Genomic DNA, 21,868 nt, shown 5'->3' on the forward strand with positions numbered 1-21,868 from the left:
CTGGAATTGGGGCCTCGTGGCTTCCACACCCCCTGGTGGCCCCGGAGAGCTGGAGGTCACCACGGGAGGTCGTCGATCAGCACGACCTGGGCAGGGTGAGGGGGCCAGGCTGGAGTCTACAGTGGGCCGCCTGTTGTTTCCAAAGCCCCCCAGGTCCCATTCAAACCTCACAGGGACCCTGTGAAGGGGGCGTCCCGTTTTCCAGGCAGAAGCGAGGCTCAGGGAAGGCTGCCAAGGTTCCTTAGCTCACAGGGCAGAGAACCGCAGCCACCGTTTTGACTCCCAGAACTGTGTTCTGCCCACTCCACGGGGTCCAGGGAGGGGTCTGGGGAAGTGCCCCCGCCAGGTCACACCCTAAACAAAGGTGAGCTTGCGGGGTTTCTGCAAGGTGTCTGGGCACCTCTCAGGCCGGGCCTGTTTCTCTGACCTTTGCCAGCCGTGCACGTCCTTCCTGCCCAGCTCTGTGGACGCAAACCCACACCTGCCAGCCCGACACCTTTCTTTCCTCTTCTGCACTGATCTGGGCCCTGGCTCCCCTGGGGTCTTGGTGTCCTCTCTGCTTCCTGTAGCCTCATGGGACCCGGCTGCTCATGGCCCTGCTGTGCTCACAGCTGCCTGGAAGCTGGCAGCCTGCTTCAAGGGAGGGCGGAGGTGTGGGGTCCCCTCCTACGGCCCCCACCCTGTTCTGCCTGTTGTGGGGGACGTGCTTGTACCCTGAGGATTCAGGGCTGCCTCCCGGGAAGATGGCTGGAGAGAAAGAGAGGGGAGAGGCCCAAAGGCAGTGGCCAGGCTGGGACTCATCTCTGTGGGCTACGGAGGGGCTGCCCTGCTCCCTAGCCAGGGACAGGGTGAGAAGGACCTGGGAACCTCTGCGTCCCAGCCATGGCACAGGCCTTCTTCCGGAGCTTTGGCCCCAAGGAGAGGGAGAGGCAGCCCAGCAGCCCTCGCCTTCCGTGGCTGCCACTGTGACAGCCTTGCCCTCTGGGAATGGTGCGCAGGAGGCCACTTCACCTGTCTGGGCCTCTTCGCCCTTTCAACCCTGAGAAGAACAGTGGTCCTGATTCCCCACAAAATCACTCCCTCCCAGGGATGCCGAGTGAGGAACAAGACGTGGGGCAGCTCTGCTCTCCTCCCTCCTCCCTCCCATGGCAGCTGTGCCCACCTGCAGAGGTGCAGGCAAGGTGGAGGGGCACCTGTTTGGAGGTCCACAGACCCCGGGGAGAATCCCAGCTTTGTCCTAACTCAGCGGGGTGAGGCTTGTGTGTCTTCCCCTGGGCTCCTCCTCTGTGAGCCTTAGCTTCCTCGTCCATAAAATGGGATCATCCCATAAAGTGAGATCAAGCGAGCTAGGCCCCGGGCAGGGTCCCCAACAGGTTGTGGTTGTTCGAGAATTTGCAGCAGTGGTGATGGTGGTTGTGGTGATGAGGATGATGGGGGTGGTAATGACGGTGATGATGATGGGGTGATGGTGCTAGTGGAGATGATGGGGATGATGGTGATGGTGGTGGTGATAGTGGTGGGATGGTAGTGGTGATGTGGGTGATGGTGATTGTGATGGTGGTGGTGGTGGTGATGGAGGTGATGGTGATAGTGATCATGAGGGTGATGGGGATGGTGGTGGTGGTGATGGTGACAGTGGTGGGATGGTAGTGATGATGTGGGTGATGGTGATGGTGGTGATGGTGGTGGTGGTGATTGTGGTGGTGGTGGTGATGATGGTGGTGATGATGGTGATTGTGGTGATGGTGATGGTGGTAATTGTGATGGTGGTGGTGGTGATGGTGGTGATGATGGTGATTGTGGTGATGGTGGTTATGATGGTGGTAATTGTGATGGTGGTGGTGATGGTGGTGATGGGGATGATGATGGTGATTGTGATGGGGGTGGTGGTGGTGATTGTGATGGTGGTGATGTGGGTGGTGGTGGTGATTGTGATGGTGGTGATGTGGGTGGTGGTGGTGATTGTGATGGTGGTGGTGGTGGTTGTGATGGTGGTGATGTGGGTGGTGGTGGTGATTGTGATGGTGGTGATGTGGGTGGTGGTGGTGATTGTGATGGTGGTGGCGATGGTGGTTGTGATGGTGGTGATGTGGGTGGTGGTGATTGTGATGGTTGTGATTGTGATGGTGGTGGTGGTGATGGTGATGATGGTGGTGATTGTGATGGTGGTGATGGGAGTGATGCTGGTGATTGTGGTGGTGAAGGGGGTGATGGTGGTGATTGTGATGGTGGTGAAGGGGGTGATGGTGGTGATTGTGATGGTGGTGAAGGGGGTGATGGTGGTGATTGTGGTGGTGGTAATGGTGATGGTGGTAAAGGGGTGATGGTGGTGATTGTGGTGATGTGGGTGGTGGTGGTGATGTGGGTGGTGGTGGTGATTGTGATGGGGGTGATGATGGTAATGTGGGTGATGGTGATTGTGGTGGTGGTGGTGATGGTGATGATTGTGATGGTGGTGAAGGGGGTGATGGTGGTGATTGTGATGGTGGTGATTGTGATGGTGATGTGGGTGATGGTGGTGTTGATGGGGGTGATGATGTTAGTAGTGGTGGTGATAGTGATGGGGATGATGGTGGTGTTGATGGTGATAGTGGTGGGATGGTAGTGGTGATGTGGTTGATGATGGTGCTGGTGCTGATGATTGTGATGACAGTGGTGGTGGTGATGAGGGTGACGGAAGTGGTGATGATGGCGGGAGTGATGGGATGATGGTAATAGCAGTGATGGTATTGTGATGATGGTGCTGATGGGGATGGTGGTGATGATAAGGGTGATGATGATGGTGATGATAATAATAAAAGTAACAATAATAAAGGGATACACCTTGCAGTATCCCAGTTGGCATCTCCTAGATCTAAGGTGTCGTGGCTGGAACATTGACATAACTCCTGACCTGAGGTTGGCCAGGACACAGACCTGGTGGACAGAGAGAGATGGACGAGGAGTGTCCGTCCTTGGGCTACTAAACAGTTCAGGCCAGGGATTCCCAGCACCAGCCTCTGTCCTCCCAGGAGCCCACACTTTTCCTAGAAAGGTGTTATCAAAGTCAGAACATCAGTGTAATTTAGGGTGTTTTTTGTGTTGTGTTTTTTTGAGACAGGGTCTCATTGTTGCCCAGGCTGGAGTGCAGTGGCATGGTCTTGACTCACTGCAGCCTCCACATCCTGGGTTCAAGTGATTCTCGTGCCTCAGGCATGTGCCACCATACCTGGCTAATTTTTGTGTTTTTTGGTAGAGACAGGGTTTCACCATGTTGGCCAAGCTGGTCTCGAACTCCTGACCTCAAGTAATCCACCCTCCTCAGCCTCCCAAAGTGCTGGGATTACAGGCGTGAGCCATCTCGCCTGGCCGATTTTTGTTTTTTTAAAAGACAGGGTCTCTGTCACTCTGGAGTGGCAATGATCCTAGCTCACTGCAGCCTCGCACTCCTGGGCTTGAGCAATTCTCCTACTTCAGCCTCCTGCGTAGCTGGGACTATAGGTGCTCGCCACTACACCTAGCCAATGTTTACATTTTGATGTAGAGACAGGGTCTCTCTGTGTTGCCCAGGCTGGTCTTGAACTCCTGGGCTCAAGCAATCCTCCTGCCTCAGCCTCCCAAAGTGCTGGGACTACAGGCATGAGCCACCACACCTGGCCTAGGGTATTTTTTTTGGTGTGTTGCTAGCGTAGCCCAAGGCAGCTCTGTGCAGGGTAAAGCAATGGGGCTCCGAGTCTGGAGGGGTGTGTGTGTGTGTGTGTGTGTGTGTGTGTGTGTGCGCGCACGCGCGCGCGTGTTATATGTGATTTGTTTGTGTGTGTTGTGAGAGTTGTGTGTGAGGTATGTGTAAGAGGTATGTTTGAGGTGAGTTGTGTGTGTGTTGTGAGTTGTGCATGTGAAGTGTGTGTGTTGTGAGGTGTGTGTATGAGGTGTATGTGAGTTGTGTGTGTTGTGTTGCATATGAATGCTACTTCCTCATCCTCGTTTGTCTCAGTCACCTGTGGACTGGCTGTCTGCACACACGGTCACTGTCCCTCGAGTGGCACCACCCTGCAGGCCAGCGCCCCCTAGCACATGGCCCCACAGACCCCATGGGACATGCGTGAGCCTGCCTGATGCTCACACCAGCTCCACGGGGGAAGGACTGTTTATCCCATTTTGCAGATCAGGAAACTGAGACACGGTGAGGTCAGGTGACTTGCCCAGGCCCTGGCCGGTCAGGGAGGAGCAGTTTGAACACCTGGGCTTTGGTTGCAACCACCCTGGTGAACTGCAGGAATCCCGGCCACCTGGTGCACCCTGGGCAGCCCTGGGCTCCTCCGCCAGCCCGGCCTCTGTCCTGTCCAAAATCTGAGCCACCAGGAGACCTCCTGTCCAGAAAGCACAAGGGGCACAAGAGATGCCGACTCTCCCAGGCCCGGCTCACCTCTCAGGAGAGGACTGTGGCCTGGGTTGTGCTGGCATCAGAGCCCGGCTGTGTGGGTTTACACAGTCACTGGACACCCGGCTCGAGGGTGAAGTCCTCGGGGGCTGCTTGGCAGGGATATTGCCGGGAGGTAGCCCAGGCACTGCTGAATCTCAGACTGGAGAGCCTCGTGCCTGGGTGGGAGGGGCCCCATGTGCAGACCCTGCTGGTCTCTCCGGAGAGACCCCTGACCGGCCTCCCATCCTCTCCCCAGGGCAGAGCGGCTTGGGTAAATCCACCTTAATCAACACCCTCTTCAAATCCAAAATCAGCCGGAAGTCGGTGCAGCCCACCTCAGAGGAGCGCATCCCCAAGACCATCGAGATCAAGTCCATCACGCACGGTCAGTGGCCGGGAGTGGGCTGGGGGTGCAGGACGCCCCTGCCTTCCTGGAGCACAGGGGTTGGGGGTCAAGACCATCACACACAGTCAGTGGCCAGGGGCGGGCTGGGGGTGCAGGACTCCTCTGCCTTCCTGGAGCACAGAGTGGGGGGTCAAGACCATCACACACAGTCAGTGGCCGGGAGTGGGCTGGGGATGCAGGACGCCCCTGCCTTCCTGGAGCACAGGGGTTGGGGGTCAAGACCATCACACACGGTCAGTGGCTGGGGATGGGCTGGGGATGTGGGATACCCATGCCTTCCTGGAGCACTGGTGCGGTGTGAGGGTGCCCGAGTCAGGCAATCCCAGGTCCCCAAGACGGGGACTCGCTGTGCCCACCATCCCCAGCATGTTGAGCATGTTGGGGCTCTGGCTGTGATGGGTCAGTGTCCCGGACCCCTGTGGGCCCCGTCACACTGAGCTCCCCACAGACAACTGAGTTTTCCACCAAAAGTCTGACAGGCAAGGGGCTCCCAGGGGAACCGTCACCGGCCTGTGCCGGAGTTGGCTGAGGAAGGCCATTAATTTCCCGGTGTCTCCTTGGTTGTCATCGCTGCCTACCTGGGGTTGCCCCGGGGTCAGTCAGGTGTGGGGTGTCTGTGAGGGTCTTCCGTCTCCCCTCTGACTCTGCGTCCGTGGCTCTGTGCAGATATTGAGGAGAAAGGCGTCCGGATGAAGCTGACAGTGATTGACACACCAGGGTTCGGGGACCACATCAACAACGAGAACTGGTGAGGCCCCTCCAGGGGGAGGAGCACTAGCGGGGGCTTCAGGGCTCCCTGGACCCCACCCAGAGTCAGCCCTAGAGGTTTCCCGGCCCGCGGGGGTGCAGGGCCCACCTCCTGGGACCTGACATGCTGCCAAAGCCGCACGTCTCAGGGGCCTGAAAATTCTGGACCAAAGCAGAATTACCTGGGGAATCTTGCTGTCCCCAACTCATCACCTGAGGCCAGCCCGGGGAGGCTGGTTTGGGAGGCCGAGGGTAAGGCTGTGGCATCTCCGCTCAGCAAGCCAGACCTCCCAGGGCATGCATTTCATTGGAAGGTGGGGTGTTGGGCTCTGAGTCCTGGGAATGCACGACCTGCTTGGGGAGGGCATCTCATGTGCCTGCTGACTCGTCCCCATCCCCCACGCAGCTGGCAGCCCATCATGAAGTTCATCAATGACCAGTACGAGAAATACCTGCAGGAGGAGGTCAACATCAACCGCAAGAAGCGCATCCCGGACACCCGCGTCCACTGCTGCCTCTACTTCATCCCCGCCACCGGCCACTCGTACGTCCCTGCAGTGTCGGCGTCCTCATGCCGGGTGCCCTGGGTTCCCTCTGTCCCCTGGGACTGCAAGACGGTGCTGTCTGCCCTGCTGCTGGGTGCAGAGGGGCTGAGTCAGGGGCCATGGCCGCCAGCTATGAAGTTGGGGGTGTGCCATGTCTGCACCTCCAAAGCCTCACACTGACCCCTATGCAAGTGTCCTGCCCAGCCCCCATCCTTCAGCTGCGTCTTGGGGAGCTGAGGGTCAGGCAGGCCCTGGGCTGTTCTGGAGCCTGGTGGTCTGTGTCCTGCCTTCTCAGGCCAGGCTCTGGCAGGTGGAGTGGGAGCCCCCAGCCAAGCACCCGTAGCGGTGACTGACCTTCTCATCCGGGCCCTGCCTCATGGGACCCCTTAGAGGGTTTGGTGCGTTCTTAGACGGGAAGCACAGAGATCAGTGCTGGCCCCTTCCAGGGCTGGACGGGGCTGCTGTTGGTGTTGGTGAGAGCCCTTTCCTCCCGCCGGCTCTGTCCGCACCTGACGTCGCCCCTAGAGATCAGCAAGGGCGGGAGGCTGCATGTACCCTGGCAGGTGGACTCTTCATGGCCTCACGGACCCTCTGTCCTCAGCTCCCTGTGCACCCCCTGCCAGACACCTGTGGCTCACCCTGAGCCAGGGCTGGGAGGAGGAGGACCAGAGGCCAGCAGGAGTGGCTGGTGGAGGCAGCCGTGGGTGGCTTGTCTGCATGGGTGGGTGGAGAAGGTCCTTCGCACCTGCTGTCCCAGATGTACTTCCCTGGGCGGAGGAAGCCCAGGGGTTTGGGGAAACCATACTCTGTGGGCACCAGGTGCAGGAAGGAGCCTGGCTGGTGGGCAGCGGGCCTCACCCAGAGTCTGTGGGAAAACCCAAGCCGGAGTTTTCGAGCCCACCCTCTGGCATCATCCTCTGTGGGCCAGCAGGAGTCAGGGGCAGGGGGCCAGCCCGCTGTCCATGGGCCTCTCCTGAACTGAACATCTGCCCTCCCAGGCAGAACGGCTCACCTGCGGTCCTGTGGCAGCTGTTCCAGCTGCTCCAAGCTTTGCCTCAGCTGAGGCTGATGGCAGGAGGCAGAAGCCTCTCCTGATGCCAGCTGGGCAAGCCGAGGGCGGGCGGGCGGTCTGTGGCACTTCTGCCACTCCCCAGCACTGACCCTTTGGCTGGGACTCCAGCTAGGCATGTTGCCTGGTCCCGCCCAAGGCGTCCAGTCCCATGGGGCAGGGGCGGGCCTTGGCCATCTCTGCTTAAACTTCTGCCCGGAGCGGGCTTCTCCCCAGCCATGTGTGTGACCGATTTATTCTCACTGTGGGAAAAGCTCGGCTCCAGAACTGGGGAAGATGGTGCCCCAGTTCCAGGGCCCTGCCAGCCCCTGCCACCCACAGCTTTCCCCACATCAGACCCCAGGCTCACTGGGGCCAAGCAGGCAAGGGGAGCAGCCCGCCTGGTGCAGGGGAGCAGCCCGCCTGGTGCAGGGGCACCGCACACTGGTGCTAGCTTCTATTTCTCTTGCCTCTCCCCTCCCAGCCAAAGCCCCACAGCAAGACGGCTGCTGAGCCAACGACAGCCCTTCTGTGTGGACATGTAGGGGTGTGGTTGGGACCCCAGAACTCATGGACGAGGGTGCTTGGAGCTGGCCCTGGCCCGCCTGGCCTGTGCAGTGGTGTCACCTGTGTCTGGGACACACCCGTGTCCTTCCTCTGCCCCACACTCACAGCGTGGCCGACTCGGCCCGGGGCCCTGTCCTTGCCAGCAGGGACCCCCGTGAGCCCCGAGCCAGCACCTGAGAGTGTCGACACCTGCTTGGGGGTGGGTGCCCCCCCACTGCCCCGCTCCCCCAGATGAGCCTCACGCACATCCCTCTGCTTCAGCCTCAGGCCCCTGGACATCGAGTTTATGAAACGCCTGAGCAAGGTGGTCAACATCGTCCCTGTCATCGCCAAGGCGGACACACTCACCCTGGAGGAGAGGGTCCACTTCAAACAGCGGGTAGGGTTCCATCTCTACTTGCCCCAGCCCTTCTGTGCAACCTGGAGACGCTGCAGGCCTGGCAGGGGCCACCCCGTCTAAAGGAGTCACACTGTCAGGGAGACCGAACCGCTGGTCACTCTCCCCAGCGGGTGGCTGGCCTGGTGGTCCCTGGCCCAGGTGGCTGCTGGGGGCCGTCCCTGAGATGGCCTCTCCAGCTCCCCCATATCTCAAAAGCAGCTTTGTGGGAGTGCCAATTCTCCAGCAGAGTCTCTGAGGGGGGTTTTGGAGAAGACCTGGACCAGGCAGATGGTGAATCTCTCTTCCAGGGAGTGAGGCCGAGCAGGGGCCGTGCGACATGGCCCACCTTGTTTTATGCCCCCCCTTTTTTTTTTTGAGAAAGGGTCTGGCTCAGTTGCCAAGGTTGCAATGTAGTGGCACAATCATGGCTCACTGCAGCCTCCACCTCCCAGGCTCAGTCCCCGAGTAGCTGGAATTACAGACGCACACCACCATGTCTGGCTAATTTTTGTATTTTTAGTAGAGACGAGGTTTTGCCATGTTGCCCAGGCTGGTCTCTAACCCTTGGGCTCAAGGGATCCTCCTGCCTCAGCCTCCCAAAGTGCTGGGGTTACAGGCATGAGCCACCTCACCTCGCCCTGCCTGGTTTTTATTAGATGGAAGAGAAGCTGGGCCAGGTGTGGTGGCTCACGCCTGTAATCCCAGCACTTTGGGAGGCCGAGGCGGGCAGATCACTTGAGGTCAGGAGTTTGAGGCCAACATGATGAAACCCCATCTCTACTAAAAATACAAAAATATTAGTCGGGCATGGTGGCGGGCGCCTGTAGTCCCAGCTACTTGGGAGGCTGAGGCAGGAGAATCTCTTGAACCCGGGAGGCGGAGGCTTCAGTGAGCCGAGATTGAGCCACTGCACTCCAGCCTGGGTGACAGAGCGAGACTCCATCTCAAAAAAAAAAAAAAAAAAAAAAGTTTCAGGAGGGATGGTCTCTGCCACCTTCTTCTCCGCCACCGTCTGAGGCCCCTGCTGTGGGATAGGGAGGGGCATCCAAGCAAGAGGGCAGCCCTGGGCTCTTCCTCCTGACAGGGCAGCACATCAGAGCCACATGGGGTGCCTTTCAAAATGAAACCGAGGTGCCTGGGCTGCGGCACCACATCTGCCTCGGTGGGTGTGGGTGGGGCCTGTAACCTACTCCGTCCTGGGGCCAGGTGTCAGGGACCTTCCCAGCATGTGCAGGGGAAGACAGTCCACACAAAGTGGGTGTGTCTGCCGGAGGCTACACACGGGCTGTGGTCTGTGCCTGGGCAGGCGAGCAGCCGCTCACTGGGATGTTTCTGTTGCACGTACCCATGTCGGGCTGCTGGCAGGGAGCTGAGAGGTTACTGCAGGCGGGGCCCCTGCTGGAACTGGGGACTGTGACGAGGGTTTTTTAGGAAGGGTTTCAGGAGGGGAGGTCTCGGTAACCCTGAGTACTTTCTTGGGGCTGTGATGAGCAGGAGAAGAGAGGTGGGAGGTGCTCAGGACGATGACCTTAAGCCCCTGGGGAGTTGCAGCGTCGCTCAGGACAGCAGGTGCACCTGCAGCTGCCCCTCTTCCCTCCAGGAGGCACAGGAGTTGGAGGTGATTGGTGTCACAGCCCCCCAGAGCCTGCCCTTGAACCCGAGCCTGGGGCAGCACACAGTGTGGAGGTCATGTGGCAAACACCAGTGGGTGGGTAGAGCTTGCCACAGGGATGGGCCCATCTCTCTCCCTCCTTATCCCAGATCACCGCAGACCTGCTGTCCAACGGCATCGACGTGTACCCCCAGAAGGAATTTGATGAGGACTCGGAGGACCGGCTGGTGAACGAGAAGTTCCGGGTGAGTGGATCCACTAGGATGTTGTTCCCAGGGGACCCCCAGTTCCTGCTGAAGGGTGGGTTGGGGGTTTGGAGGACCTTAAGCCATGAAATTATATTCTTGGGGCCAGAGGGCACTGAGCCCAGGTGTCTGTACCCAGTGCTGTCAGGCTGAGGCTCTCGTTTTTGGGGGACCCCAGGCTCAGGGCAGCTCCTCCCGGGGGCCCAGGGGAGGGAATTGCCTTCCCGCACATGTGTAACCAATACCGTCTGCCCGTTCCCCAGGAGATGATCCCATTTGCTGTGGTGGGCAGTGACCACGAGTACCAGGTCAACGGCAAGAGGATCCTTGGGAGGAAGACCAAGTGGGGTACCATCGAAGGTACTCGCCGCAGGCGCCGGGGCTCCAGACAGATGGGAAGACAGTCTCTTCTGCTGACCCAGAGCCTGTGGGCCACGCCTGAGCCAGGGACTCGTGGAACCTCATCCACTGCCTTGCCCCACCCAGAGGGAGGGGTCTCCTTGTCCCCATTCAACCCTTGGGAAAGTGAGAGGGCAAGTGGCCTGTGCAGATGCCTCCACCCCAGACCTCCCCCCGGGCAGGGAAAGATTCAGGGAGACAGGAGCTGGGATGGGGGCCGCCAAGTTCTGGATCCTGGTGCAGGCTCTTTCATAGGCACCTGTGTGGCCCTGGACAAATCGCCCAACCTCTCTGGGCCTAGAAAAGGGGTGGGCTGTAGCTCTGTGAGCCAGATGGACCCTCGGCCCCTTACCCTGCTGAAGTTCCTGGGACCCTCACACCTTAGTCTCTTGAGTGGCTGTTGTAACCAATTAGCACAAACGAGGGGACTTAAAACAACACAAACGTATTTTCACAGTTCCAGAGGCCAGAGGTCCGAAATCAGGGGCTGTTTCCTTCTGAGGCCCTGAGGACCAGCCTCATCCATGCCTTCCTCCTTCTGGTGGCGCCTGGCATTCCTAGTTGTATTGTAAAGGCATCACATGCTCTAATCTCTGCCCCATTGTCACAGGGCCTTCTTCCCTGTGTCTCTGTCCCGTCCCTCCTCTTCCTTTTTTTTTTTTTTTTTTTTTGTTTGAGACGGAGTCTCGTTCTGTCACCCAGGCTGGAGTGCAGTGTTGCAATCTCAGCTCACTGCAACCTCTGCCTCCTGGGTTCAAGTAATTCTCCTGCCTCAGCCTCCCGAGTATCTGGGATTACAGTCACGTACCACCCACCTGACTTAATTTTTGTATTTTTAGTAGAGACAGGATTTCGCCATGTTGGCCAGGCTGGTCTTAAACTCCTGACCTCAGGTGATCTGCCCACCTTGCTTGGCCTCCCAAAGTGCTGGGATTACAGGAATGAGCCACCGAGCCTGCCCTCTTTCCTTCTTGTCTTTGGACAAGGATGCCTGTCTTTGGACTTAGGGCCTACCCTAAGTGGATGATCCCATTTGGAGATCCTTAATGAATCTATAAAGAAAGACGTTTTCCAAGTAAGGTCACAATCATGGGTTCCAAGGCCTGGACCTTGACCATGTCTTTGAATGGATGGGAGCCCCTGGGGGGCCACAGTTCAACCCACTCCTGGCGGTGACACCCCGGGAGGGATGGGCCCGAACGTTTCCTTCCCCTTCCTCTCTCTGTCCCTTCATTTCTCATTAGAATGGAAGAGGGGAAGGTGCAGAGGGAAATGCAGCAGGAAAAGCCACTTTGTTCTGGGAGAGCACTTGGCTGAAAGGCCCAGTAGAGCAGGAAGCACAAGTCTCTTAATCTTCCAGGGCCTCAGTTTTCATCATCCACAAAGTGGGTGCAGTGTGCCAAGATTTTAGTGAGTTGAGAGACTGTCCCAAAGACCACAGAGCTTTTTGGGAAGCTGTTGCTCTAAAAAAATGGTCATAATGACAATTACCAGGAGGCATCAGACACTCCTGTGCCACTGGCTAGACATGGGTTATCTCGTTTCATGTCCGAAGCTCCCCGCACCCACCCTCCTTGCAGAGTTGAAGAGGTGCTGTGAGCAGAAAACCTGCCAAGGGACCCAGAACGGGAGGCGGCTCTAGAATCTACAGCTCCAGCCCTGCACCAGACTCCCTCGAGATGGGAGTTCATGCCTGGAGGAGGGTGTGGAGAGGCACACGGGCCTTTCCCCTGTCTGCACTCCTCCCCTACCACCACCCCTGCCGGGCCCACCCTGCGGGAGCTGCCCAGCTGGGTGCAGCCTGGGTGTTTTCCAGTATCCGCCTGTGGTGTCAGGCTGGCTTGCCTCCCCTTGGCCCCTCTGCCTGCAGTTCCTCTCTTCCTCTCTGCCCAAAGAGTTCTTGCTGTTTAGGAAACTTTTTATGAAAGGCAGGTTTGGGAGAGTTAGGGATGGATGGGCCTGGGACGGGCCGGCGGCTTTGCTATGGGCGTGCCTCTGCTGCACCCTGGTGGCCAACCTTGAGTACCGCAGGTGGCCGGTGACAGAAACTGTCAGGAAATGCACAAGAGAGAGGTCCCCGCACCTCTCTGACCTGTGCGTTGTTGAGCACCACTGGCTCCAGCTGAGGAAGAGTCTGGAACCTGTCAGGACAGTTGTGAGGTGGTGGGGCCCACTTTCCAGCAGTCTTATATGAGGACCCTGGAAATGTGCCTTCAGCACTGCTGGGTTTTTATATCAGGGGCCCCATGAGTTCATAGCTGACCTGACACCCGGACTAGTAAGGGCTGTGCCTTGTTCTTGCCTCCCACTTGGTGAACAGCATCTTGAGGTATCTTTCCCATCCTTAGAAACCACCCCAAGTATTGTCAATAGAAATGTGGGGTGTAATTGATCACGCCATGAACTCATTTAATCCTCATGTCCCTGAGAGGCGGGTGACGTTATTATCCACATTTTATGGATGAGGAAACTGAGGGAATGAGAGTAACTTGCCCGAGCCAGGGAGTGGCGATCACACACTCCAACTCCAGCCTGAGAGCCCCATTCTTCCTGCCGGCTCTCGCTGCCCGTCAGTGTTAGATGAGAGTGCTGCTGGTCAGTCTGCAGGAGGTTCTAGTGTGGACACCGCCCTACACAGGGCCGTGGCAGGAGGGCCTAGGCAAAGGCAACCGGCATAGCACTGAGAGCACTTGAGGGCTGGGCAAGGTGGAGGCCCCGGCCCTGCCTGCTGGCCTACCAAGTAAAAACTAGACATTTTTAACTTGGGGAAAAGCCATGTGGCTCTGCGATGGGGCAGCCTGGAGCCAGGTGTATGGGTTCTGCATCCCGCTCCAGCCTTATGCACTGTGGAGCTGAGACAGACACAGTTCTTGCGTTCTCTATGCCTCATTTTCTTTTCTTTTCTTTTTCTTTTTCTTTTTTTTTTTTTTTGAGACGAAGTTTCACTCTTTTGCCCAGGCTGGAGTGCCGTGGCGTGATCTTGGCTCACCACAACCTCCACCTCCTGGGTTCCAGTGATTCTCCTGCCTCAGCCTCCTGAGTAGCTGGGATTACAGGCGCCTGGTACCAGGCCTGGCTAATTTTTGTATTTTTAACAGAGACGAGATTTCATCATGTTGGCCAGGCTGGTCTCGAACTCCTGACCTCGTGATCCACCCACCTCAGCCTCCCAAAGTGCTGGGATTGCAGACGTGAGCCGTGGTGCCCAGCGTCTACGCCCCATTTTCGTAAGATAATGGGGATAACAAAGGAATCACAAGAGACACTTGCAGGTGTGTGAAGACGAAGTTCATCACATGGGAGGGCACCGGGTGTCTTTATTTGCCTTCCCTGCCCGGCTCCCCACCTCCAGTGATGCCGTTCACTGCCCTCCTTGTTAAAAGGCCTTCTGTTATATAACAGTTACACATGCCAGGCACCGCGTGTTCATATAGGAGTTACGAAGCACAGCAATAAAATGACCACTCTGAGATGGCCACCAGCTCGAGCCCGAGGGCACTTGTGGGTGCCCGTGGTCTCCTGCCCAGTCTCCCTGAGAAGTGGCCACTGTCCCGAGCTTGGGCTTGTATGTATTGTGTGAAGTGCACATGTCCCTGAGCAATGTTTAGCATTGCTGATTCTTGAGCTTGTGAATGGTCGTCCACAGTACGTAGCCCCTGTGTGTGTCCCTGTGTGTGTGTGCTCTGAGCGCACACAAGGTGGATGGGGCCGTGGGGGTAACACCCTGTGGGCCACAGGTTTTCTTTAAAATCCCAGCTCCGATTCCTGCTTCATCCCATTCCCAGCAGCCCAGCCCCCTGCCTGTCTTCAGGCCCCTGCTGGGACGTCCTGCTCTCCCTGGTCACCCCAGTGGTGCGGGGGCCCACTGCCCTGGCTTCTCCACTGTGGCTTCCTTCCATGCTCCTATTTGGCCTGGTCACTGTGCCATCTCCCATTAGCCAGGAACTTTCTGGAGAGCAGGAGCTGAGCTGTCCAGGAGCAGGAGCTGGTGCTGGTCACTCCAGTATCCCCCAGACTGAGGGCAGTGCCAGGTGTCCTATACTCAGCTGCAGAGCAGGTGGTTCCCCTGCCCTCCTGCCCATGGGGCTGCCCTCAGACTCTGCTTTTGGCACCAGCATTTCTGGGCAGGGGGAGAGAGGTGGGGTCCGGGCAGAGTTTCTCCACTGGGACATTAAAGCCCCTCCTGTCTCCTCTCCTAGTTGAAAACACCACACACTGTGAGTTTGCCTACCTGCGGGACCTTCTCATCAGGTGAGAGACAGGGTGCTTGGGTGGGGCTGACGGCTTCACCCCTAAGAGGGCCCTACAGCGGGTGGGGGCAGTGGGTGTGGGGCCGAAGCCCTGGGCAGAGTGGGTGCCCCCTGCCACCTGCCTGCCCTGCCCTCGGGAAGATCTTGGAAGCCCATCTTCTGAAAAAGAAAACCCACTGGGAAATGAAGCAGGCAGTGAAGATCCTTTTCAACCCCTGCGAAGTTGGCTGGATGGGAAGGCTGAGCTTTGATCCACTGTGGTCTGGCCCGTTAGAGCTGCCCGGTGGCCACTAAGGGCCCAGTGAGGCCTCATGTGCAGGCCCTGCCGGCAGCGTGGGGCGTCTCCAGCTCCGATCCCACTGGCCTCTGACCCCTACCCCTTTCACCTGGCTGAGGCTTCTCCTTGTTTCCCTTGAGTCCAGGCAAGGAGGGGAAGCCCTGATGGAGAGGGTGCTGGGTGGGTGGTCCCTGGAGTGTGGGCCCTGGCCTGGGCAGGTTCTTCCTCAGCAAGCAGCTGGCATGGATGATGGGAATGTTATCAAGAGGAGGGGCCTCCAGGTTGGCGGGGGCAGGGGTGGGGGGATTCCGGGAGCCGTTCTGCCATTGTGGGGATACTGGGCTTTCCAACCTCCCTCCAGATTATTCCTCCTGAGCTGCAGAGGAATGAAAATCCGAGCCCAGGACTTTTTTTTCCTGGGGACAAGGGCAACCCAGCCCTTTGCCCCAGGCCACCTGCCTGCCACAGGCCATAGTCCTGGAGGCCGGTGGTCACCCACTGCTTCCACCCTGCCAGCACCCTGGACACCGGCCTGGAGCAACAATGCTCCAGCCCTGTCCCTCTGAGTCTATGCACTGTCCCTGGGCCCTGGACCCAGGGCCATAGGGTGGACCCAGAGGGAGACACATGCACTGGAATATGTGTGTTCTGACCGAGTCTGGGCTTACCAGGGGGACTGACCCTTCCCCCAAAACGTGTACCAGATCTGGTCCAACATGGTGGGCCTGGGGGACCCCATGGGGAGCCAAGCAGTCGGGATGGGGAGTGGGGGTGGGGGCAGGCGGGCCTGAGTCCGAGGCAGGCCGAGCAGGGCCCCTGCCCCGCTGCCCCCACCCCGCTGCGCCCACCTCACTGACCCGCCCGCCCCCCACCCCCACAGGACGCACATGCAGAACATCAAGGACATCACCAGCAGCATCCACTTCGAGGCGTACCGTGTGAAGCGCCTCAACGAGGGCAGCAGCGCCATGGCCAACGGCATGGAGGAGAAGGAGCCAGAAGCCCCGGAGATGTAGACGCCACCCTGCCCACCCCCGGGATCCTGCCCCCAAGTCATTTCCGTCCCCCCCCAGGCCCTCCCACCACCCCATTTTATTTTATATGATTTTCTCCATTTGTCATCGTTCCCCACCCCTTCGACATGCTGCCAGGAAACAAGGGAAGGGGCCTCCCTCCGAGTGAGTCAGTGATGAGGCCGCGGCCTCCCCGAGGTTGTGGGGAGGCTGCACTGGAGCCACAGGCAGGGGTGAGAGCACCCACTGAATTGACATGACCCTCTGTCCCCAGGCCTGGCTCCCCGAGGGCTCAGAAGAGCAGCTTCGGTGTGCAGATCATCCGTCTGTGTGGGGTTCTCAGTGCCGGAGGCCTTGGGGTGGGGGCCAGGCCTCGCACTTGCAGAGGAGCCCAGTGGGCTGCACGCTCCCCTCCATCCCCATCGGCCCTGTCCCCTGGAGTGTGTCAGAGCCCAGGGGAGAATGCAGCCCACCAGGAGCACCTGGACCCCCTGCCCGCCACATGGTGTGGCCATCACTCAGCCCCTACCCCTGCCCTGCTCCTAAGGGTAGAAAACTCCAGGGTCCCCTGCCACCGACTGCCCAGCCACTCCAAGCCCCCTGGCAGCTGCCCCTCCTGGAGCAGAAAGTGCCTTTATCTCAGCCATCCGCAGACTGCTTGGCCAGATGCGGGGACAGGCTGGAATGAGGGAGGCGTCTTCATCTCCCTGCCATCCCCCTCTCACGCCACCCCCGCCCCCACCGGGCTGCAGGTGCTGCTGATGCGCTGGGATCTGATTGAGGATAAAAAGGAAGGAGAGATGACCCCTACCCCCTCATCCCCCAGTTTTGAAAAGGTCTAAGCAAGTGAGTCTGGTGGAGGAGCTGAGGGAGGGAGCCATGGAAGGTGCCAGAAGGAAGGTTGGCGGGGGCACGTGTGGGCCGTGGCTTGGGCTGGTCAGAGTGGCGTGAGCTGCCCGGCGCCTGCCCTGCCCAAGTGACCAGGGAAGTGTGTGTGTGTCCATGTGTATGCGTGTCCGTCTGTCTGTCTAGTGTCTGGGTTTGGCCCAAGACTGGGCTGTAGTTACATTAATGCCCAGCCAGCCACCCCTGCCACTCACCCTTCCTGGCCCAGGCCTTGCTGACTCTCTGAGCTGGGGAGGTGGGAGGCCAGGCGAGCCTGACTCTGTTGATCTACCCGTGCCTGGGCCCCTCCCCTCAGAGCCCATGGTAACGAACCCCTAGAAAGGAGAGAACGGGCGTCAGGGGTGCACAGTCCACAGCTGAAGAGCAAGGTTTCGTGGCAGCACGGCCCGGCCCCTCACCCTCTGTCCCCACGAGGGGACCCATGGGGGCTGTCTTTGCAGGGCACAGATGACCAAAGTCCCTTCCTGCTTCCTGTTACCTGTCTTGCTCCTGGGGAGAAAGAGGGGCCTGATGAGACTCCACTCAGGTGCACACATCACCAGGTGCATCTGCAGGCACCGGGCTGGCTGCTTGCAGCCAGGAGAAGGTCAGCGAGAAGGAGTGTATGAGTGTGAGTGTGTGTGCATGGAAGTTGGGGCACTGGGCGTCTGACTCCCTCCCCACCCAAGAGAGGAAGGACCCCTCACCACCCCCACTGGTGAGACAGTTTACTTTGCCAACTTGCCATGTTTTTGCCAAAACCAAGATTTTGAAGGAAATGAGTGGCCAGCGCCAGGGCCCAGGCCATGTGGCCTGCCCAGCCTCAATGTCACTTGGTGGCGGGGTGGGGTGGGGGTGGGCAGCAGCATCCCAGCCTTGAGATGCTTCACTTTCCTTCTCTGTAACCAGACTTTGAAAAATTGTTCGTTTCATCAGGCTCTGTTCCTCAATGGCCTTTTGCTACGTGCCTCCCGAGAAATTTGTCTTTTTGTATAAATGACAAAGTGTTGAAAATGTATTTCCTGAAATAAATGTTTCAAATGCAGAAACCCAGAAGGCTCCTGAGTGAGAATGTTTTTTCTGCCCCTGAAGTGCAGTTCTTTGGGCCTCGGGACAGGTTGGGGTCAGCTGCAGGTGGGCAAGAAGCATGGGCAAGAAAAGGTAGGCCGGGCGCGGTGGCTCACGCCTGTAATCCCAGCACTTTGGGAGACTGAGGCAGTTGGATCACAAGGTGAGGAATTTGAGACCAGCCTGGCCAATATGGTGAAACCCCGTTTCTACTAAAAATACGAAAATTAGCTGGGCATGGTGGTGGGCGCCTGTAGTCCCAGCCACTCGGGAGGCTGAGGCAGAAGAATCGCTTGAACCCCGGGAGGTAGAGGTTGCAGTGAGCCAAGATCATGCCACTGCACTCCAGCCTGGGCGACAGAGCAAGATGCCATCTCAAAAAAAAAAAAAAAAGAAAAGGTAAGGCCAGGTCAGATCTCGAATTCAGACTCCCAAGATTTGAAACTAACAAACTCCCTGAGAACTTATAATTCCAGAGCACTGTGAAGAGTGAGAATAGCATCAAGGCGATTGCTGGGGCGTTGTTTAATCTACCTGGGGTAAAAGTTCCCAGGGCTTGAGAAGCACTCAGCGGAGATGACTGAAAAGTGAATGGCAGATCTGAACGCTTTCATTAAAGTGGGGGATCTGAAGGGCGTCCACAGGGGGCGCTGTGAGCTGCTTCTAGTTAGTGTATCCTTGAAAATAACTTTTTCTGTTTTATTTTTTGAGACAGGGTCTTGCTCTGTAACCCAGGTTGGAGTGCGGCGGCACGATCACAGCTCACTGCAGCCTCTACCTTCCAGGCTCAAGCGATCCTCCTGAGTAGCTGGGACCACAGGTGTGCACCACCACACCTGGCTAACTTTTTCATTTTTTGTCAAGATGGGATCTCACTATGTTGCCCAGGCTGATCTCAAATTCCTGGCCTCAGGTGATCCTCCTGCCTTGGCCTCCCGAAGTGCTGGGATTATAGGCGTGAGCCACTATGCCTGGCTGACAGTAAGTTTTTCTTTTAGAAATTTATATTAGATTGAACTCCAGACTGGTCAGTATTTGACAGTTGTTTTATGCCAACCTAACTCATTCCAAGAGAACTTGATTCCAAATAGATTAGAAGTCAGAGCCTTGGCTGAGTGAGCTTTTCTTTGCAGGTGAGCTTAGGAAGTAAGGTTCAGGGAGCTCTGGTCCGTATGCCCTTTGCGTGTGCAGAAGGGCCTCACCCGGATCCCTTCTCCCACGTGTATTAGTGCCCTGCAGCTGCCTTAACAGATGACCATGCAGCAGGGCTGAAAACAGCGGAAATTTATTCTCACAGTTCTAGAGGCCAGAGGTCTGAGATCCAGGTGTCCCAGGGCCTCGCTCCCTCCAAAGGCTCTAGAGGAGGTTCCTCTCTCCTCCCCCAGCTCCTGCTGGCCACTTCACCCCATCTCTGCCTCCGTCTTCACAGCCTTCTCTCTCTCTGTCCTGGAGGGTCAAGAGGGCCAAGAGGGCACTCTTCCAGGACTGAGGGCCCACCTTGATTCAGTTCGATCTCATTTAGATCCTCACCTTCATGACATCTGCAAAGACGCTCTTTTGAAATCAGGTCACATTCTAAGGTCTGAATGGATGAGAATTTGGTGAGGTGGGAGACACGGTTGGACCCCCTACATCCCCTTCCGCCCCGCTGTTTCAGGACCTCCAGGACAACATGGGCAGCAGAGTGGTGGGTGGGAAAGCCCTAATTTGGGACTCGGAAGGTCTGGGTTCCAGGGTGACTCTGCCACCAAAACTTGGGGTTGTCTCAGCCTCTCTGGGCACCCCCTGGCTCTTCTGCCAGGCACCTGACTTCTGCATGTTTTGGAGAAAGCAGACAGGTTCCTCTCTCAATGAACTGATGGGCGTTGGCCCAGTGGAGCCTCTGTGCCATGGGCCGGTGTCTGCCATGAGCACAGGCAGGTTGAGAGTCAGGTCAGCCCCTGTGGGCGGCTGCCAGCCTGCAGCCTGATTCCAAAAGAGGGTCTTTGCAGATGTCATTAAGGTAAGGATCTAAATAATCACTAAGGCCCTTCCAGCTGTGATGGCTTTGTCCATCCCCCATCTGAAGTTCCTGGCAGTCCCTCTGCCTTGAAGCCCTCTTCCTGCAGACTGAAGTGTCTCCATTTTCACCCCCAATTTCCATCCTTGCACACAGGGAGCCTGTCCAGCGGCTGCCCTCTTTGGGACCGACCACCCTCTCCAAGTCCTGGCCTCAGAACTCCAGCTCCTCCCCACTTGGCCAGCATGATCCTCCCAGGCGTCTCGTGCCTCTAAGCCATACCCAGCCAGCCCCCTGCCCCCTACGCCATGGTCATCTCATTGACCAGACCAACCCCGGTACCCAGCCACCCTGCACGGCCCATCCAGCGATGCTGGCAGGGAGGGCCTCCTGCCACCCAACCGAGCAAGTCTCCTGCTGTAGAACCAGAGTGACCACTGTTACAATTTGCCTGAAAATGAGCGCTTTCCAAGCACACAGGACTTTCAGTGCTAAAATCAGGAGAGTCCTGGGCAAAGTGGACAAGTTGGCCACTCTGGGTGGGATCCCCGTGCCACCCCGCCGCTTCTCCTGCCTCTGGGAGCCCTGGCCTCTACACTTGTTCAACCCCAGAGGTTCTGAAGGAGCTGCATGGACCAGGCTGTCCCCAAGGAGAGACCCAGGGAGAGCAGGAAGGCCCCAGGAACAGGCACCATTCTCACACTGGCTCTGAGCTCCTGCGTGGGAAGTGGGGAATCTCGTGGGGGCTGTGGAGACCTTGTGTCCCTGCTTCCTCTCCTGCTCCAGGCGGCAAGGTTTGAAGCCAGGAAAGAAAGTAAAATCAACAAGCAGGCTTTGGGCTTTTCCGGACCCAGCCTTGTAGGAGTCCCTGCATTCTCTGGAGCTCAGGGGCCAGGTAAGGATGCTGGCAGGTGGGCTCCACTCAGCTCCACCTGGATGCGCCTGGGAGAAAGCCGGATGGGAACCCAGTGAGCCCACTGGGCGGGGGCTGTGCTTGGCACCTCCTCTTAGATGTGCATGTCCTTTCTCCTATTTTATTTTATTAATTTTTTTGAGGCAGAGTCTCACTCTGTTGCCCAGGCTGGAGTGCAGTGGCGCAATCTCGGCTCACTGCAACCTCCGCCTCCCAGATTCAAGTGATTCTCCTGCCTCAGCCTCCCGAGTAGCTGGGATTATAGGCACCCACCACCACACCCAGCTAATTTTTGTATTTTTAGTAGAGACAGGATTTCACCATGTTGGCCAGGCTGGTCTTGAACTCCTGGTCTCAAGTGATCTGCCCTCCTCAGCCTCCCAAAGTGCTGGGATTACAGGCGTGAGCCACCGCGCCTGGCCAACTCTCTCACATTTTAAAACACTACTTTCTGCTACAAAAGTGGCGTGTACAATGGGAAATGTCACAAATAAATACCCCAGGAAGACACTCAAAAGCCCCTGTGATGCCCCCCCAGCCCTGGTCCTGGGGTGTCGGCCTTGGGTCTCCCTCCTGGTGCGGCATCCTTTAACCACTGCAGTTAACTGGGAGGAAACGATCCCCATGCATTGCTCTAAATCCCGCTGGATCTGGTTTTGGGGGTGCTGGGCTGCTGCCCAGGAGACTGGAAGGGGAGGAAGGTGTGTGGCCCCTGAGGGCTTCCAAAGCACTCTGTGCTGTGAGGATCCCACCCCGTGCGCTCCCAGAAAGTGGCCGGTGTTTTTCTGCTCCAGCAGGGAGCCCAGGTGAGGTTCTCTAGGTAGGTGGAAAGGTAGGTGGAGCAGGCTTCAAGAGCAGAACCCAGCAGAGCGCCCCGGCTTCCTCCCATCGCCCTCCTACTCCCTCTCCTCCCCTCTCCTCCCCTCCCCTCCCATCCTTTTGGAAGCAAGGAGGGGAGAGGCTTCCACCGAAGTTGGGCCCAGCTCAGGTGTCCTGAGTGGTGGGAATCTGTGCAGGGCCCAGGCGCATTTCCTGCCCGGGAGCAGGAATGCTTTACAGATGTTGGAGCTGCCTCAAGGCATGGCCAGGAGGGGCCGGAGAAGCAGAACCAGC

The 21,868-nt window shown here is 58.0% G+C and overlaps 1 protein-coding gene across 11 annotated transcripts in view, besides 3 other annotated features; it reads left to right on the forward strand.

Moving 5' to 3' along the window:
* Positions 1-17,831, forward strand: part of SEPTIN9 (septin 9) — a 219,098-nt gene extending 201,267 nt beyond the window's left edge. For 10 of the 11 annotated variants that reach the window (NM_001113491.2, NM_001293695.2, NM_001113492.2 and 7 more), the window contains 8 exons: positions 4,659-4,787; positions 5,475-5,556; positions 5,962-6,099; positions 7,977-8,094; positions 9,856-9,951; positions 10,215-10,311; positions 14,550-14,601; positions 15,758-17,828. In NM_001113491.2, coding sequence (NP_001106963.1) covers positions 4,659-4,787; positions 5,475-5,556; positions 5,962-6,099; positions 7,977-8,094; positions 9,856-9,951; positions 10,215-10,311; positions 14,550-14,601; positions 15,758-15,893 — 848 coding nt within the window. In that variant the 3' untranslated portion in view covers positions 15,894-17,828. 11 annotated transcript variants of the gene reach the window in all.
* Positions 13,662-14,211: an enhancer, noted in NCBI's record as "H3K27ac-H3K4me1 hESC enhancer chr17:75492509-75493058 (GRCh37/hg19 assembly coordinates)". NCBI's record gives its function as "activates a minimal SCP1, AML or CMV promoter by ChIP-STARR-seq in primed H9 embryonic stem cells {active_cell/tissue: H9 hESC(primed)}" and the evidence as "EXISTENCE:reporter gene assay evidence [ECO:0000049][PMID:30033119]".
* Positions 14,212-14,759: an enhancer, noted in NCBI's record as "H3K27ac-H3K4me1 hESC enhancer chr17:75493059-75493606 (GRCh37/hg19 assembly coordinates)". NCBI's record gives its function as "activates a minimal SCP1, AML or CMV promoter by ChIP-STARR-seq in primed H9 embryonic stem cells {active_cell/tissue: H9 hESC(primed)}" and the evidence as "EXISTENCE:reporter gene assay evidence [ECO:0000049][PMID:30033119]".
* Positions 19,623-20,123: an enhancer, noted in NCBI's record as "H3K4me1 hESC enhancer chr17:75498470-75498970 (GRCh37/hg19 assembly coordinates)". NCBI's record gives its function as "activates a minimal SCP1, AML or CMV promoter by ChIP-STARR-seq in primed H9 embryonic stem cells {active_cell/tissue: H9 hESC(primed)}" and the evidence as "EXISTENCE:reporter gene assay evidence [ECO:0000049][PMID:30033119]".

The sequence above is a fragment of the Homo sapiens genome, chromosome 17 (genome assembly GCF_000001405.40).
Source record: "Homo sapiens chromosome 17, GRCh38.p14 Primary Assembly".
In the NCBI taxonomy this organism is placed as follows: domain Eukaryota; kingdom Metazoa; phylum Chordata; class Mammalia; order Primates; family Hominidae; genus Homo; species Homo sapiens.